This window comes from Homo sapiens, chromosome 19, assembly GCF_000001405.40.
Source record: "Homo sapiens chromosome 19, GRCh38.p14 Primary Assembly".
NCBI classification, from domain to species: domain Eukaryota; kingdom Metazoa; phylum Chordata; class Mammalia; order Primates; family Hominidae; genus Homo; species Homo sapiens.
The window spans coordinates 57,679,364-57,696,049 of NC_000019.10; the positions used below are offsets into that span (position 1 = coordinate 57,679,364).

The 16,686-nt window shown below is 45.9% G+C and overlaps 1 protein-coding gene across 3 annotated transcripts, besides 2 other annotated features; it reads left to right on the plus strand.

The window, feature by feature from the left end:
• Positions 2,306-2,929: an enhancer, noted in NCBI's record as "NANOG-H3K27ac-H3K4me1 hESC enhancer chr19:58193037-58193660 (GRCh37/hg19 assembly coordinates)". NCBI's record gives its function as "activates a minimal SCP1, AML or CMV promoter by ChIP-STARR-seq in primed H9 embryonic stem cells {active_cell/tissue: H9 hESC(primed)}" and the evidence as "EXISTENCE:reporter gene assay evidence [ECO:0000049][PMID:30033119]".
• ZNF551 (zinc finger protein 551) lies at positions 2,614-11,285 on the plus strand. Of its 3 annotated transcripts, none has more exons than NM_138347.5 (3): positions 2,614-2,881; positions 5,899-6,022; positions 7,118-11,285. In NM_138347.5, the coding sequence occupies exons 1-3, from the start codon at positions 2,801-2,803 to the stop codon at positions 8,923-8,925; spliced, it is 2,013 nt and encodes a 670-aa protein (NP_612356.2). In that variant the 5' UTR covers positions 2,614-2,800; the 3' UTR covers positions 8,926-11,285. The 3 variants fall into 3 exon arrangements, 2 of the variants coding, with proteins under 2 accessions (NP_612356.2, NP_001257867.1); NM_001270938.2 differs by having other exon boundaries at positions 2,614-2,759; NR_073102.2 differs by lacking the exon at positions 5,899-6,022.
• Positions 2,985-3,054: a silencer, noted in NCBI's record as "silent region_11079". NCBI's record gives its function as "represses an Ori minimal core promoter by ATAC-STARR-seq in GM12878 lymphoblastoid cells {active_cell/tissue: GM12878}" and the evidence as "EXISTENCE:reporter gene assay evidence [ECO:0000049][PMID:35858748]".

Here is a 16,686-nt window from a genome sequence, read left to right on the forward strand (position 1 = left end):
ACCAAACCACAGATCCAGAAATCTCAGAGAAGAGGAAGCAGTGTAAATACCAAAAACCTACAACTAGGTACATCATATTCAAACTACAGAAGGCCAAAGATAGAGAAATTCTTGAAAGAAGATGGAGGTGGGAGAGGGCACTTTACCTGCTGAGGAACAAGGATGAGATTTAGAGTAGAATTCTTGTCAGAAACCAGATAATCAAGAAGGGAATGGAGTGAAAGTTCAAAATTTAGTACAAAAAATAAAACCCCACCCTAACATCTATATCCAGCAATGTTATCTTTCAAAGGTGGAGGAGAATAAAGCTTTTCTCACACAAATACTAAAGAATTCATCCCCAAAGGTCCTGTTACAGGGTCCCTGCATTACATGTGAAGCAATCCAGTAGTTATTTGAAGGTCGAATTAGATTAAAGATGTTTAGGCTGGGCACAGTGTCTCATGCCTGTAATCCCAGCACTTTGTCAGGCTGAGGCGGGCAGATCACTTGAGTCCAGGAGTTTGAGACCAGCCTGAGCACCAAGGCAAAACCTCATCTGTACAAAAAATACAAAAAAACAATTAGCTAGGTTTGGCGACATGCGCCTGTAATCCCAGCTATTTGGGAGGCTGAGATGAGAGGATCACTTGAACCTGGGAGGCAGAGGTTGCAGTGAGCTGAGAACAGACCACCGCACTCCAGCCTGGGTGACAGGCTCAAAAAAATTTTAAAAAGATGTTTATTGTAACTTCTAAGGGAGGAATTAATATTTTTTTTTTTTTTTGCTGGCAACTTTGATTAATTTAAACATACAAAAATTAGCTGGGCATGGTGGTGTATGCTTGTAACCCCAGCTACTCAGGAGGCTGAGGCAGGAGAATCGCTTGAACCCGGGAGGCAGAGGTTGCAGTGAGCTGAGATCGCGCCACTGCACTCCACCCTGGGAGACAGAGCAAGACACTGTCTCAAGAACAAAAACAAAAAAGCCCAGGCGCAGTGGCTCACCTGAGGTCAGGAGTTCAAGACCAGCCTGGCCAACATGGTAAAACCCTCGCTCTACTGAAAATACAGAAATTAGCCGGGCATGGTGCTGGCGCCTGTAGTGCCAGCCACTTGGGAGGCTGAGGCAGAAGAATTGCTTGAACCTGGGAGGTGGAACTTGTGGTGAGCCAAGATCAAGCCATTGCACTCTAGCCTGGGCAACAGAGTGAGACTCCGTCTGGGAAAAAAAAAAAAAAAAAGAACTGATAAACAAATTCACCTGTGTAGCTGAATTCAAAGTCAACATGCAAAAGTCAACATGTAAAACTCATATGCCCTTCCATACACTAACAATGAAAAATCTGAAAAGGAAATTAAGAAAACAATATCATTTGCAATAGTAATGTATATGGTCAAATGATCTCAACAAGGCTACCAAGACCACTCAATGGGGAAACGATGATCTTTTCAGCAAATGATGCTGGGAAAATGAAATATTCACATGCTAAGGAATGAAGGTGAACCCTTACCTAACACCAAAAACACAAATGAACTCAAAATGGACTAAAAACCTAAACATAAGACCCAAAACTATAAAACACTTAAAAGAAAATATAGGGTGAAAGTTTTATGACATTGAATTTGGCCATAATTTCTTGGATTTGACACCAAATACACATGTGACAAAAGAAAAATAGACCAATTAGACTTCATGAAAATTAAAACTTTAGTATATCAAACAATAACAAAGTGAAAGAGGAACCTATTTAATGAGAACAAAATACAGGTTGAATATCCCTGAGCCAAAAATCTAAAATCCAAAATGCTCCAAAATCCAAATTTTTTTTTTCTTTTTTTTTTTTTGGAGACGGAGTCTCCCCCTGTCGCCCAGGCTGGAGTGCAATGGCGTGATCTCGACTCACTGCAACCTCTGCCTCCCAGGTTCAAACGATTCTCCTGCCTCAGCCTCCCAAGTACTGGGATTACAGGCGCTCGCCACCATGCCCGGCTAATTTTTGTATTTTTAGTAGAGACAGGGTTTCACCATGTTGGCCAGGCTGGTCTCGAACTCCTGATCGCGTGATCCACCCACCTTGGCCTCCCAAAGTGCTGGGATTACAGGCGTGAACCACTGCGCCCGGCCCGCCCGACTAATTTTTGTATTTTTAGTAGAGATGGGGTTCCGCCATGTTGGCCAGCCTGGTCTCGAACTTCTGACCTCAGGTGATCCGCCCGCCTCGGCCTTCTAAAGTGCTGGGATTACAGGCGTGAGCCACCGCGCCCAACCCCCTGAAATAATATTTGTTTGCCTCTAGGGGCACCCTGAGCTTCGTGGAGTCTGAAATAATGTCTCTAAACACTTAAGTGATCAGTTACGGAAAACACTTCCCAGAAATCTGGGAAAAGCCCCTTTAAGAAGGAGTAAATACCTCCTTCTCCCCTAGAGGCCGAAGTCGCCATTTCCCTGCACGGGGCACAGCACCTCAGAATACAAGTTCGCAGAGGTCAAAGCAGTGGACACACTCCGAAGAGCTCCGTGGAGTTTTGGAAACTACATTATCCAGAGTGCAGAGCGCAAAACGGCGGCGGAGTTGAGCCAATGACAGCCCAGGATAGCAACACTTCCGCGCACGCGCAGCGCGACGGGCCGGAACTTCCGGCGTCCTCCTCGTGGCGGTCATTTTGGCCTCTGTCCTGTTTGTCCAGCCCGCCAGTTTCTGCAGTGGAGGTCGCGACTGAGGGACGGGACAGAGAAGTCGCGAAAGTGGGCCAGAGGTTCTGCGACACCACCTCGGGTGAGCTGCGCCAGGCCCGGGATAGGGACTGTTGTGTTCGAATGCCCGCCCCGGTCGGCCGCCGCTCCCCGCCTAGTCCACGGAGCTCAATGGCGGCAGTCGCGCTGAGGGACTCGGCTCAGGTGAGTTGTGCGTCCTCCGGGTCTCGCCTACCTCCCCCAGCAGAAGCCTTAAGGCCCAGTGAGGGATGCCTGCTCACAGCCCTGCAGCCCAGGCCCCAGTACCCTGGACAAGAAGGCGCTTGTGGATTGGACCCGTTTGTGACGCCCAGTGTGTACGGAAATGTGACGGGCAGTTGACTGGCGCGTGCAGAACTTGGAGCTGCGACTAAGCTGGGGGGGATTCAGGAGCCTGGGGTCCGTCTCGGGTCTGCAGGAACATAGAGTGAGGCAGAGTTGCACCTGACGAATTTGACGATTCTGAGGACACTGGCAGCCTTCGAGATTTGTGAACAGATAGGGACACTGGGCTAGGATTTCCTAAAGCTATCCAAAAGTTGCTCAGGGGAAGAACAGGCTGAAGAGAGGTAATAGTAGTTAGGCATAGGAAGACTGAGTTCTTGTCCAAGCTCACGCAGCTGGTAAAGTCAGCACTGAGAACTGAGGTGCGGAGATAGTGCAGCCAGCCCAGGCCACCTGGCTCCAAAACTGGACCAGGGTCATTGGGCGACCTGAGCCTCGCCACTCGTCTAGCCTTGGGCCCTGAGACTTTGAGCAAATACAAAGCCCAGAGTCTTAAGTCCAGGTTAGATTATATGAAGCTGTTGGCAGCCGGGGGAAAGGAGATGTAGAAGGTTGTCCAAGGCAAAGTTACCAGTATATGCTAAGTTTGGAGAGGAGGCTAAGATAGTTCAGGAACCTACAATTATTTTCTTTTCATGAGAACAGGGAGCAGTGTAGTAGAAGTCAGACCCGGAATGGTTCCCTGAGAAGTTGAGTTGTCTATTCGTTACTTAATAGTAACAGTGGGAGGTTTGGAGTGGAAGAGGGAGGTGATCTGGTTCTGGTCTTATTAGGCTCCCTGTGGCTGCAGCATGGGAAGCCAACTGAAGGATGAGGTGGGGAGACCTGGGAGGAGACTACTGGGATAGGCCAGGTGAATGTGATAGAATGTGATAGGCCAAAATGGTGGCTGTGAAGATGCGAGAAGCAGTTGGATTCTGGATTCATTTTTTAAGTAGGGCTGCCTGAATTTTTAGTTTTGAGAAAGAGAGTGGAGTCAGGGATGACTGAAAGGTTTTATTTTGGCAGTTAGAAGTGTGGAAGCTCCATCAACTAAGATGGGGAAGTACATAGTAGGAGTAGTTTTCATTTGGGATATCAGAAGTTTTATTTTTGACCTGCTAAGAGTATGAGAGCTTTCAGAGAATGGTTCATGGGCTGCTGGAACTGTAGGTCAGGAACAGTGAGGAGAGATTCAGAATGGAGACTTTTCCAAAAGGTAGTGGACAATCTGTGGGCCGGGGTGGAGCTGTGGATCACATTTAGTAGAGGGGAAGCCTGCTCACAATGATAATAATAGTTGTCAAGGAAGGGGAGGGGAAGGTCAAGGACAGGTCTCCTGTGTGAGCCCCTGGTTGTGTGAGGTGTTGCAACACAGGTCTTGGACAGAAGTGTTCACGGTGAGGGTCGTACAGAGATTATGATCTAGCATGTGGCCAAGGCTTCTCAGGGGTGAGTAGACATGAGATGAATGTAGAGGCATAGGAGTTAGACAGGATGATGCTAGGACTGGTGCGTATTCACCTCTCTGCAGACTGACCAGGGTTTTATATTAACTCTTGGTGGGATCTGGGAAGTTTCAGTCAGGCTGTCACGTTATCTTAGGGGCATAATTGGCCATCTGTGGGACTCGATGGGCCCGGGGTAGAGAGCCACTGGGGTTGGACCTTGAATTAGTGGTAGTTGGAGAGAGGAAGGCTGTGACTGGTTGGGGGACAGCAATCACAGCCCAGAAGTGGAAGAGGCCTTGGTTATCTGAGATCCACAGGTGATTCTTGATGGGTGAGGTTGAAGCAAGGAATAGTCAGGTAGAAAGGCCTTCATGGTATGACTTGAGGCTGCCCCTAACTTTAGGTGCAGTTAGAGATCTGGGATAGTACTGAACCGTATTTGAATTTGCCAGCCACTCTCTGGGCCCCATATGCTGAGTAACCAGTTGGGAGGCCAAGGAGATGCTCATGGTATGAGGCAGGAAGTAAGCTGTGGCTGTGGGAGTGACACTGTGAGAGAAGTGTGGTAGAGTATTGTGCACATGGAGACAAGAATGTGAAGTGGTGGCTCCTTGGTGTTGAGGACACAAGGGTGAAGTATGAACCAAGACCCTTGGTTGTGTTTGGGAGCCATGGTCTGTTGTCTTCCAGGAGAGTTTCCTTACAAGAGAGTATGGTTCCTTGCATGGCAGGCTCAGAGCTTAGATACTTGCCCACCTGCCTGTTGTTGCTGTGGGAGAACACAATGACCAATGGGACCATAAGGAGAGAGGGGGCATTAGTGTCACCAGGCCCTGTTGCATTCTTTCAAATGAGAAGATGGAGAGGAGGATGAACAGGGGATAGATGCAGCAGGGATGAATTTGGGGTCCTAGGAGAGATACTCATAATGGAATGAACTGTCCCAATCATGGAAAAGCTGTGTGACCTTTGAGGTTGTGGCTGTGGGAATGCAGCTGTGTGAGACAGGTGTGGTTCAAAGAGTGATGTACATGAGAAGAGAGAGAATAAACTGAGGGCCATATGGGTGAACGGGAGTCAGAGGGGTAAAGGGTAAGCCCGTGTTAGTTGTGTCTTGGAAGATCAATCTTGGGGACTTCACGGGTATTGCCTGACAAGACAAACGTCAGATCACTCACACCCTGTCTATGGCCAGTTCTCTCTCTAGCTGGTGTTTGTGAGTAACGAGAGGTATAGCCTACCTGCCATGCCCAGAGCTTAGATAGCATCTATCTGTTCATAGGCCTGTTGTTGCTATTCGAGGACTCAGTATCAGTGGAACTGTGGGGAGAGGGTAGGCATCGGTGGCACTGTGGCTGGTTATCTCCGCTGAGGTGGGCAATAGGGTGACCTGGGGATGGATGTTGGGGGCAAGAGGATAATGAACTCCGGGTCTGATCGTGGATTGAACTATTCCTGCTGTGACAGGGTATGACCTTTGAGGATGTGGCCATTTATTTCTCCCAAGAAGAGTGGGAGCTCCTTGATGAGTCTCAGAGGTTCCTGTACTGCGATGTGATGCTGGAGAACTTTGCACATGTAACATCCCTGGGTAAGGCCCTAGCATCCCTCCGAGTGTCTGCTTTTCTTTTTGACCCCAGAGTTACCTCTGTCTCAGGAGTCTTGCTGTCAGCCTAGTGGATCTTATTTTTCTTGTCTTCCCCCTGTCAGGATGACTGTGTACAGATTCATGGTACCTTGTGGCCCAGTTTCTGCCCTTTTCCTCTAGCTGCCATTTCCTTATGTCCACCTATATCAGAAATTACAGGCATTGTCATAGTTACTACTTATGTGAACTATGGAGCTCTTTTTACAAGACTCTCCTTTGAGTGTTTTTTGTGAGTGCTGGTCACTCCCTTGTCCTCTCTTTCCTTAAGACTTACATCATTCATGTGTTATGTGGTAGCACAATGAGGGCTGCAGGGAGAGCCCTAGTTGCTTCACAGAGTGAACAAAGCAAGATGGTCTCAGAGGAGGCCTGGCCCCAGTGAGTGGCAGCTGGGGAAGGGCATGACATCATGGTTGTATTAGAATCATATCCGGAACCTGTGATGTGTCCAGCAGTATTTTGGTGCAAGTGCCACTGGCCATAACTCGTTTCTACTTCTACTTCCCTATACAATACTGTGCTGAATTGTTGTTTCATCTGTCACTTCCAGTGTTTGGCTACCTCCACCCTCGTGGTCTCAGTGTGTCACTTGTTCGTCTCCACAGCTCACTTCTTTTCAGTGTTGTTCAGTCTTGACTCACTGTGTTGTGAGGTATGCACACAGCCTCAAATAGTCCTCCTTGATCACCAGCTATCAAGTTTCAATTGGATTTTCCTAGGACTGGACAACAGCAGTCTTCTGTACAGCACATACATCACTAGCAGACAAAGTCCTGCTGAGGGCTTTGGCAGAGAGTGAGTTGGAGACCCTCCTTCTCCTCCTGTGCTATACCTCATCCTTGTATCCTTTGCGTGATGAGATGACATCTCTAAAATCTTAAAAAACCCAGTACTTCAAACCAGCCTATTCCTCCCCAGTTCCGTTGTTCTCAGAACAGTTCCATGCACTCAGTTCTTGTGTCTCACACATTTTTGTGATACATCTTTCTCCTTCCATGAAAGTCAGCATGCATTTCATCAGCATTTCTCTGCTTTCAGGTTATTGCCATGGAATGGAGAATGAGGCGATAGCTTCTGAGCAGAGTGTATCTATACAGGTCAGGACTTCTAAGGGCAATACACCCACCCAGAAAACTCACCTCAGTGAGATTAAGATGTGTGTCCCAGTCTTGAAAGACATTTTGCCTGCGGCTGAGCACCAAACCACATCCCCTGTGCAAAAGTCATACTTGGGTAGCACAAGCATGAGAGGCTTCTGCTTCAGTGCTGACCTTCACCAGCATCAAAAGCATTACAATGAAGAAGAGCCCTGGAAAAGGAAGGTGGATGAGGCTACATTTGTGACCGGCTGCAGATTCCATGTGTTGAATTATTTCACCTGTGGGGAGGCCTTCCCAGCCCCCACGGACCTACTCCAACACGAAGCCACTCCCAGTGGTGAGGAGCCACACAGTAGCAGCAGCAAGCATATACAGGCATTTTTCAATGCAAAAAGTTATTACAAGTGGGGTGAATACAGAAAAGCTTCAAGCCACAAACACACACTTGTTCAGCATCAGAGTGTCTGTTCTGAAGGAGGGCTTTATGAGTGTAGCAAATGTGAGAAAGCCTTCACTTGCAAGAACACACTTGTTCAGCACCAGCAAATTCACACTGGACAAAAGATGTTTGAGTGTAGTGAATGTGAGGAATCCTTTAGCAAAAAGTGCCACCTAATCTTACACAAGATAATTCACACTGGAGAAAGGCCTTATGAATGCAGTGATCGTGAGAAAGCCTTTATCCATAAATCTGAATTCATTCACCACCAGAGACGTCACACTGGAGGAGTGCGTCATGAGTGTGGTGAATGTAGGAAAACCTTTAGCTACAAATCTAACCTCATTGAACACCAGAGAGTTCACACTGGAGAAAGGCCTTATGAATGTGGCGAGTGCGGGAAATCCTTTAGACAAAGCTCTAGCCTTTTTCGACACCAGAGAGTTCACTCTGGAGAAAGGCCTTATCAGTGCTGTGAGTGTGGGAAATCCTTTAGACAAATCTTCAATCTCATTCGACATAGAAGAGTTCACACTGGAGAAATGCCTTATCAGTGCAGTGATTGTGGGAAATCTTTTAGCTGCAAATCGGAACTCATTCAACACCAGAGAATTCACAGTGGAGAAAGACCTTATGAATGCAGAGAATGTGGGAAATCCTTTAGACAATTCTCTAACCTCATTCGACACCGCAGCATTCACACTGGTGATAGGCCTTATGAGTGCAGTGAATGTGAGAAATCCTTTAGCCGCAAATTTATCCTGATTCAACACCAAAGAGTTCACACTGGAGAAAGACCTTATGAATGCAGTGAATGTGGAAAATCCTTTACCCGCAAATCTGACCTCATTCAACACCGGAGAATTCATACTGGCACAAGACCTTATGAGTGCAGTGAATGTGGCAAATCTTTTAGACAGCGCTCTGGCCTCATTCAGCACCGGAGACTTCATACTGGAGAAAGGCCTTATGAATGTAGTGAATGTGGAAAGTCTTTTAGCCAAAGTGCTAGCCTCATTCAACACCAGAGAGTTCACACTGGAGAAAGGCCTTATGAATGTAGTGAATGTGGGAAATCCTTTAGCCAGAGCTCTAGCCTCATTCAACACCAGAGAGGTCACACTGGAGAAAGACCTTATGAGTGCAGTCAATGTGGGAAACCCTTTACCCACAAATCAGACCTTATTCAGCACCAAAGAGTTCACACTGGAGAAAGGCCTTATGAATGCAGTGAATGTGGGAAATCCTTTAGCCGCAAATCTAACCTCATTCGACATCGGAGAGTTCACACTGAAGAAAGGCCTTAAATGTGAAGGGAATGTGCTATTTCTTTATTCAGTATAATAGCACTGGAGGAGACTGTGGTAGCCATCTTCGTAAATTTAAACTTTGAGCACCCACAGTGGGGTATTCTTCATAAGTTTCAGGTATGTGGGAAGCTCTGAGGAGGTTCATTGTAATTTCTAATCTGCCGAGGCCTATAGCCTGATTTATGTCACTGCCAATTTCTGAGGCTGAAGCCATTTCACATTTCACCCCTACCACCTGGCAGGTGCACACCATGTGCATGAGTCACTTCCCCACAGTGCTCAGAGAAGCAAACCTCTGTACTCTCCCATTTGCTTGGGGAAATTATTAATAGCCCAAGCATGTAGGGTCTTCATGTCTTTTCTCTGACTTTAGAGTATACACCTGACCCAGTTGTGGTCCAGAGAATCTGAGTTGTGCTGTCAGCTTTCTAAGGATTACTTTTTTAAGGAACATTGTCGGTCTCACATGATGCTTGTAATGAATTTTTCCACATTCTGATTCACCAGCCTGGAAACTGCTTGGTGCACATTGCTTTAATTTATAATGTTTTTATAAAGGTTTTAAAAAAATTTACGCACCTTTAATCTTGGGTGTTCTATTCATTGCATAGAATGACTTGTAAGCAGAATAGTGATGTCAGCATGAAGGGGTGAATAGATTTTGTGGAGATCTCAAACTTTCTGTACTCAGAAGGGACAATGTGATGGCAGAAGACAGCTCTTTGTTCTGTATTGCTCTAATTGGCCTGCTGCCCAAGGCCTCAAAGTAAAGACTGCCAGGCTTTGTGTTCCTGTATTGTGGCCTGGTGCCATTTTTGTCAGGTCAGAGGTCACCATGAAAAGGAGGCAGTTGTGACAATCCCCAGTGCTTCTGTGAACGTGAATTTTGTTCAGTTGTCCACAGGAGATCCACATAATTCCTAGCACTGGTGAGGGGAATCTGTTGCCCAGGTCCTGCAAAGGAGCCAGGTGCCATGGCATATAAGTCAGTGTAGACTGGTGCCATTTGTTGTCAGACTATAGGTGTGGAGGTGAAATTACAGGTTCAACAGTAATTGGGACAGAAACTCCAGGTAAATGGGGAGTGGAGAAGACTGCAGTAAATTAGATGGAATGACTCTTCTAAAAGTTCATCTACAAATTTTCCAGTGAATATGGTTGTGTAGGATCAGTGCATACAGAAATTCTCAGGATCTTCTGTTTACTATCGCTGAGATCATTATCAGAAAATAGTCTGGCCGGGCATGGTGTAATCCTAACACTTTGGGAGGCCAAGGCGGGCGGATTGCCTGAGCTCAGGAGTTCAAGACCAGCCTGGGCAACATGGTGAAATCCCATGTCTACTAAAATACAAAAAATTAGCCAGGCGTGGCAGCATGCGCCTATAGTCCCAGCCACTTGGGAGGCTGAGGCAGGAGAATCGCTTGAACCCAGAAGGCGGAAGTTGCAGTGAGCTGAGATTGCACCACTGCACTCCAGCCCAGGCAACAGAGTGAGACTCCGTCTCCAAAAAAAAAAAAGAAAATAGTCTATAAAGGTTTTGTGGCTCCTTGTATCCTGTCTGGGCTGTTCACCTCAAGGCCATTGCTATGCAGGTAGGAGAACAAGAATAGAGAGAAGGATCATTCCGCGGTCCAGGGATGTGGCTTTTGTGACTCAGCCAACATTCCTATTAATTCAGGTGGCAACAGCCTTCATTGCTTGCCAAAATTTGCTGCCCCTGAGGCAAGGTTGCCTCTCTCAGGGCATGAGGAGAGAGAGAGATGGTGAAGTCCATATCAGGTTGCCACCCTGATTAAAAAAAAAGGAACATCTAGGCTCTTAATTTTGAGCCACTTTTTAAAGCTTTTTGAAGGTCTAATTTGTATAACTGACATGCAACAAAGTACACGTATCCAAAGTGTACAGTTTGGTAAAGCCATGAAACCATCATTACAACCATAAAAATGAATTTGTGTGTCACCCATATATTTACCTTGTATCTTTTTATAATCTTTCTCCCTTCCCCAGCTCTTCAGGTTCAACTGATTTCCTTTACAGTAAATTAGTTTGCATTTTCTGGAGTTTTTACTGAGATACATACACACACACACACACACACACACACACACGTATACGCATATACGTATACGTATATATATACATATGTGTTTATATATGTGTGTGTGTATATATATATACTTACTGGTTTTCTTCATGCTGTATAATTATTTTGAGATTCAAAAATGATGAATCTTTGTATTGCTGAGTATCATGCTGTTCTATGGATAAGTCAGTGTTTATCCATGTGTTTAGGGACATTTATATTATTTATAGATTTTTGTATATTACAAATAAAGCTGCTGTAAATACTTGAATTCATTTCTTTATATGGATATGTGTTTTATTTTCCTCGTGTTAATAACTCAAACTGTAATGTCTTAGTTACAATGTAGGTGAATGTTTAACATTTTAAGAAATGCCAAATTTGATCTAAATGGATGTTTCCTATTGTAGTCCCACCAAGGGTGTATGAGAGTCCCAGTTCCTTTACATCCCTGCCAGTGCTTCATGTGGCTAATCTTTTTTATTTTAGCTCTTTGAATGTATGAATAGTGGTATCTCACTGTGGTTTTCATTGCATTTCCCTAAAACTTCCTGATATTGAGCATTTTTTAATGTTTTTATTTGCCACCTGTGTAACTTCTTTGGTAAAATTAAATTTTCTTTTAAAAATTCCTCACCACCCATTCCAGAATTTGCATGTATGTGTGTGTGTGTGCACGCGCACACAGACAGGGTCTCCCAGGCTAGTCTTTTAACTCCTGGCCTTAAGCATTTTTCCTACTTTCCAGCCCCAGCTGTGGTCAATTTGTTTTTTCTTTTTTTTTTGGGGGGGGACAAGAGTCTCACTCTGTCACCCAGGCTGGAGTGCAGTGCTGTAATCTCAGCTCACTGCAAGCTCCGCCTCCCGGGTTCAAGTGATTCTCCTGCCTCAGCCTCCCAAGTAGCTGGGACTACAGGCGCCCACCACCATGCCCGGCTAATTTTTATATTTTTAGTAGAAACAGTTTCACCATATTGGCCAGGCTGGTCTCAAACTCCTGACTTTGTGATCCTCCTGCCTTGGCCTCCCAAAGTGCTGGGATTACAGGTGTGAGCCACCGCACCCAGCCACCGTGGTCAATTTCAAACTGCCATATTGATGTCACTGAACCTGGAGTTGGGAAGAATTTCTGGTAACACACCTTTGTATTCTGTTTCCAATACACTGGTAGAGTATCCAAGATAGCCAGAAGAATAAAGACGACAATAAAACAGTAAAATGATCAGGAAGTGGCAAGTTTTAAATATTTGTTTTTTAAACAATTTTATTGAGATATAATGGACTTAAATTGTATGGGTTTTTATCTTTCACCTTAGAAGGGATTCAGTTGTATATTTTTAAAATATATATTTTGATGTTTTTATACATCGTACATTCCCAAAACCAAATGTTTCTTCCAGCCCTTTTCAATTTATCCTTTGCAACATATAAATTACTGATAGAAGGACATATTCTGCCTTTTGTAGGGGCTATTTACAAATGTCCATCAATGGAAGACATCATTATAAAACCTGATGAACCCTTTCCCAGTCTTCTATCATTTATCTTTTTTTATTTTTATTTTTATTTTTTTTTGAGACAGGGTCTCGTTCTGTTATCCAGGCTGGAGTGTAGTGGTGGATTTATCATTTTGTCATTCTCTTTTTTTTTTTTCAGCATAAACTATCAAGCAATTCATGGTTGTTCTTGTTTCATCTGTCCCCATGTGGATTTATAATCAGATATTTCGTTAAAGGCATAAAGTCTTCAGATTGCATTTCTAAAATTTAAAGACCGTTTCGTAACTATAAGATTAACATACAAAATAAAAATTGTATGTGTACAAAATTATAAATGTTTTATATACAGTACTGAATTGTATCAACTGCTGCTTATTTAAGACAGATTGCTATCAGCATACAAAATATATTTGATGTTTAGTAGGTGTGTCTTTGAGTTTATTAACCTATACGTACTGCTTACTTCTTTAATATTTATGTAACGTTGCTAAACTGCTTGTCCATTAGCTTCCCACATTGTGCTGGGCGCAGTGGCTCATGCCTGTAATCCCAGCACTTTGGGAGGCCGAGGCGGACGGATCACGAGGTCAGGAGATCGAGACCACGGTGAAACCCCGTCTCTACTAAAAATACAAAAAATTAGCCGGGCATGGTGGCGGGCGCCTGTAGTCCCAGCTACTGGGAAGGCTGAGGCAGGAGAATGGCGTGAACCTGAGAGGCGGAGCTTGCAGTGAGCCGAGATCGTGCCATTGCACTGCAGCCTGGGTGACAGAGCGAGACTCCGTCTCAAAAAAAAAAAACAAAACGAACTTCCCACATTGTTGATTTGGCTTATTAAATCTCAGATTCTGTTCAGTGTGTTCACCGCTCACTCCGCCCCCCATTCCCCAGTATTTCCTGTATACTAGATATTGATGAAATGAGTGATTAAGATCTGTTCCAAGTGGACAGGTTTATGTTGGTGACAAACCTGGAAACACAGTGTGCCTTTTGCTACCACAACATGAGCAGCCTGGAAATAAACATTACAGGTATTGTGTGTGCTGGTTGTGAGACAGGTGTGCAGTAGTGACAGCACATCCTAGCAAGATACACATACATCTGTGGCATACATTGACAGATGTAGGAAACTGACACCCCCCAGCACAGCCTGGAGCCATTTGTGTATGCCACATCCGCAACAGAAAAGATGTATGACAAACCTGAAACACACACACAGGTATGTGCAAAACACGCAAGGATCCTGTGAGACGGGATGGAGATACTGACACACCATAGCAGTCTCCACAGAGACTTGTGGGACGGACATATGCTAGGGATACCCAAAAATCTGATATGTGGGGCCAGGCGCGGGGCTCACGCCTGTAGTCCCAGCACACTGGGAGGCCGAGGCGGACAGATCACAAGGTCAGGAGTTTGAGACCAGCCTGGCCAACATGGTGAAACCCCGTCTCTACTAAAAATAGAAAAATTAGCCAAGTGTGGTGGTGCGCACCTGTAATCCCAGCTACTCAGGAAGCTGAGGCAGGAGAATCACTTGAACCTGGGAGGCGGAGGCTACAATGATCCGAGATCACGCCACTGCACCCCAGCCTGGGCAACAGAGCAAGGCTCCGTCTCAAAAAAAAAAAAAATCTGATGTGTGGGCCACAAACACAATTGCACTATCTTTGTGGGGCAATTGTGATGAGGCAGGCACAACCTGATGTGATACTACTACTCCCTACACACATCACTGCATACTAGATGATGTACTGATGAGGGAACTGGTTCATACCCCAGCACAACCTGGAAATACACGTGTGAGCAGGTTTGACCTAAGCAGGAGAATAGGATGTTTATGGGCTTTATAGGAGGGCTCAGCCAGATTCAGCCAGTTTCAGAAGTAATTGGTCAAGTACAGGTGGGAGAAGGAACACTCTAGGGGATTAGTACTCATTGTCTGTCATTGATTTTACACAGGGCTGGGGAGGAGCAGTTGGGACTAAGGACACCTGCTACAGGGGTTGGGAGGCAAAAGCCATGGGTACAGAGACGCGCGATGGTCACGCTGGACATTCTCAGTTCTTCATCTTCTCTCCCAATGTCTGCAGTAGTGACTGATAACTGAGTGACAGTTCAGTATGGTGTGGAGGAAGCATCCTATGGTGGTGTTTAGATGGAAGACCGAAAGGACCCCAGGAATGAATCATTGCATGGGGTTGTGAGAGAGCGATGTGTTTGGAGTGACACCAGGGACCCTGTTGGAGGTGTTCAGGCAGTGGCAATGCTGACCATGGGAAGCAAGTTTGTGGAGAAGGACTTGAGGCCCCAGGTGGCAGTGTCCCAGTGTGGTTACTCATGTTCTGGGCTTAGCAGACTTGGCAGAGAGGAATCTGTCCAGAGTCTCCTGCATTTCCAGTCAGAGGAGTAAAGGGACCAAGGCAAGCCAACCCAGTTCAGCGTAGACCTCAGCTGCTTGTGTGAGAAACACACTCACCCATCCAAACCCAAAGAATGGACTAAAAGACACGAAGAACAGCGAAAGTGAGACTTTCAGTAACAGTCTTGCAAGATCAGGGGACTGGTGTAGGCAGGCATATCTAGGGTAGTCACAACAGGTAATTTATCTCCTTGCTTGCAAGTCCCTCCTCCAAGATACTCATTGGTCCAGTACTATGAGGTTACAGTCTTCCCAGATGTCGTCTAAGTTTCATTATCCCCCTTATAACGTTAAACCCCGGTCCCCTTCCCTGCTTAAGTTTTGATTTCCAATAATGAAACATTCTTCCCTTTCATGGCCTGACCCCTCCTCTACATTCTGTGTACCTATTGTGACCTTCTAGATGCATGAGCTGTGTGGTTTGTTACATTTGCAGGCTGGCTGCCAGTACTTAGATTTATCATGCCTTGAAAATGGGCTATTTAAAATATTTTCCCACCCTTGGCAGCTGTGGTCGTGTATGGATGTTGCTTGCCCTCTCTGAACTGCAGATACATTAAGAGACAGGAATGATCATTCCTCTCTACTCTTTTTGGGGGGAAGAAGGAATAAGTAAGGAGGTAATCCTTAGGAAGTGGGTCAATATTAGCTCCACATGAAAACAGTAGTCTTGGCCAGGCGCGGTGACTCACGCCTGTAATCCCAGCACTTTGGGAGGCCGAGGTGGGTAGATCACCTGAGGTTGGGAGTTCAAGACCAGCCTGACCAACATGGTGAAACCCCATCTCTACTAAAACTACAAAAATTAGCTGGGCGTGGTGGTGCACGCCTGTAATCTCAGCTACTCTGGAGGCTGAGGCAGGAGAATTGCTTAAACCCGGGAGGCGGAGGTTGCAGTGAGCCGAAATTGTGCCATTGCACTCCAGCCTGGGTGACAGAGGGAGACTCCATCTCAAAAAAAAAAAAGAAAAAGAAAAAGAAAGAAAAGAAAGTAGTAGTCTTGATTGTCAGCATCCAGGGAAATGTGCAAACCATTCTCGTCTCAGCCTCCTGAGCAGTTGGCACTACAGGCGAACACCACGATGCCTGGCTAATTTTTGTATTTTTAGTTGAGACAGGGTTTCGCCATGTTGGCCAGGCTGGTCTGAAACTTCAGGCCTCAAGTGATCTACCCTCCTTGGCCTCCCAAAGTGCTGAGATTACAGATGTGAGCCACTGTGCCCAGCCGGAATTCCTTTTTTTTTTTTTTTTTTCCTTTTGGAGACGGAGTTTCTTGTTGCCCAGGCTGGAGTGCAGTGGCACTATCTCAGCTCACTGCAACCTCCACCTCCCAGGTTCAAGCAATTCTCCTGCCTCAGCCTCCTGAGTAGCTGGGATCACAGGCATGTGCCACCACACCTGACTAATTTTGTATTTTAGTAGAGATGGGGTTTCTCCATGTTGTTCAGGCTGGTCTCAAAACTCCTGACCTCAGGTGATCCGCCTGCCTTGGCTTCCCAAAGTGCTGGGATTACAGGCGTTAGCCACCGAGCCCAGCCTCTTTTTCCCTTCGTTTTATTCTAATCAACCACTGAGGTTCAAAGAGGGTCTCTAGTCACTAACCCAGCCCCGCCCCAGCCCACTCAGCCCCTGTCCCTGGTGTGAGCCACCGCGCCGCCCAGCTGGAATTCTTCAGAGTAGAAAAAAGGGAAGGCTTTAGGTGTGCTAATTGGAGTCTGTGGGTCTGAGGAAGCCGAAGGCAGGCTAACTAC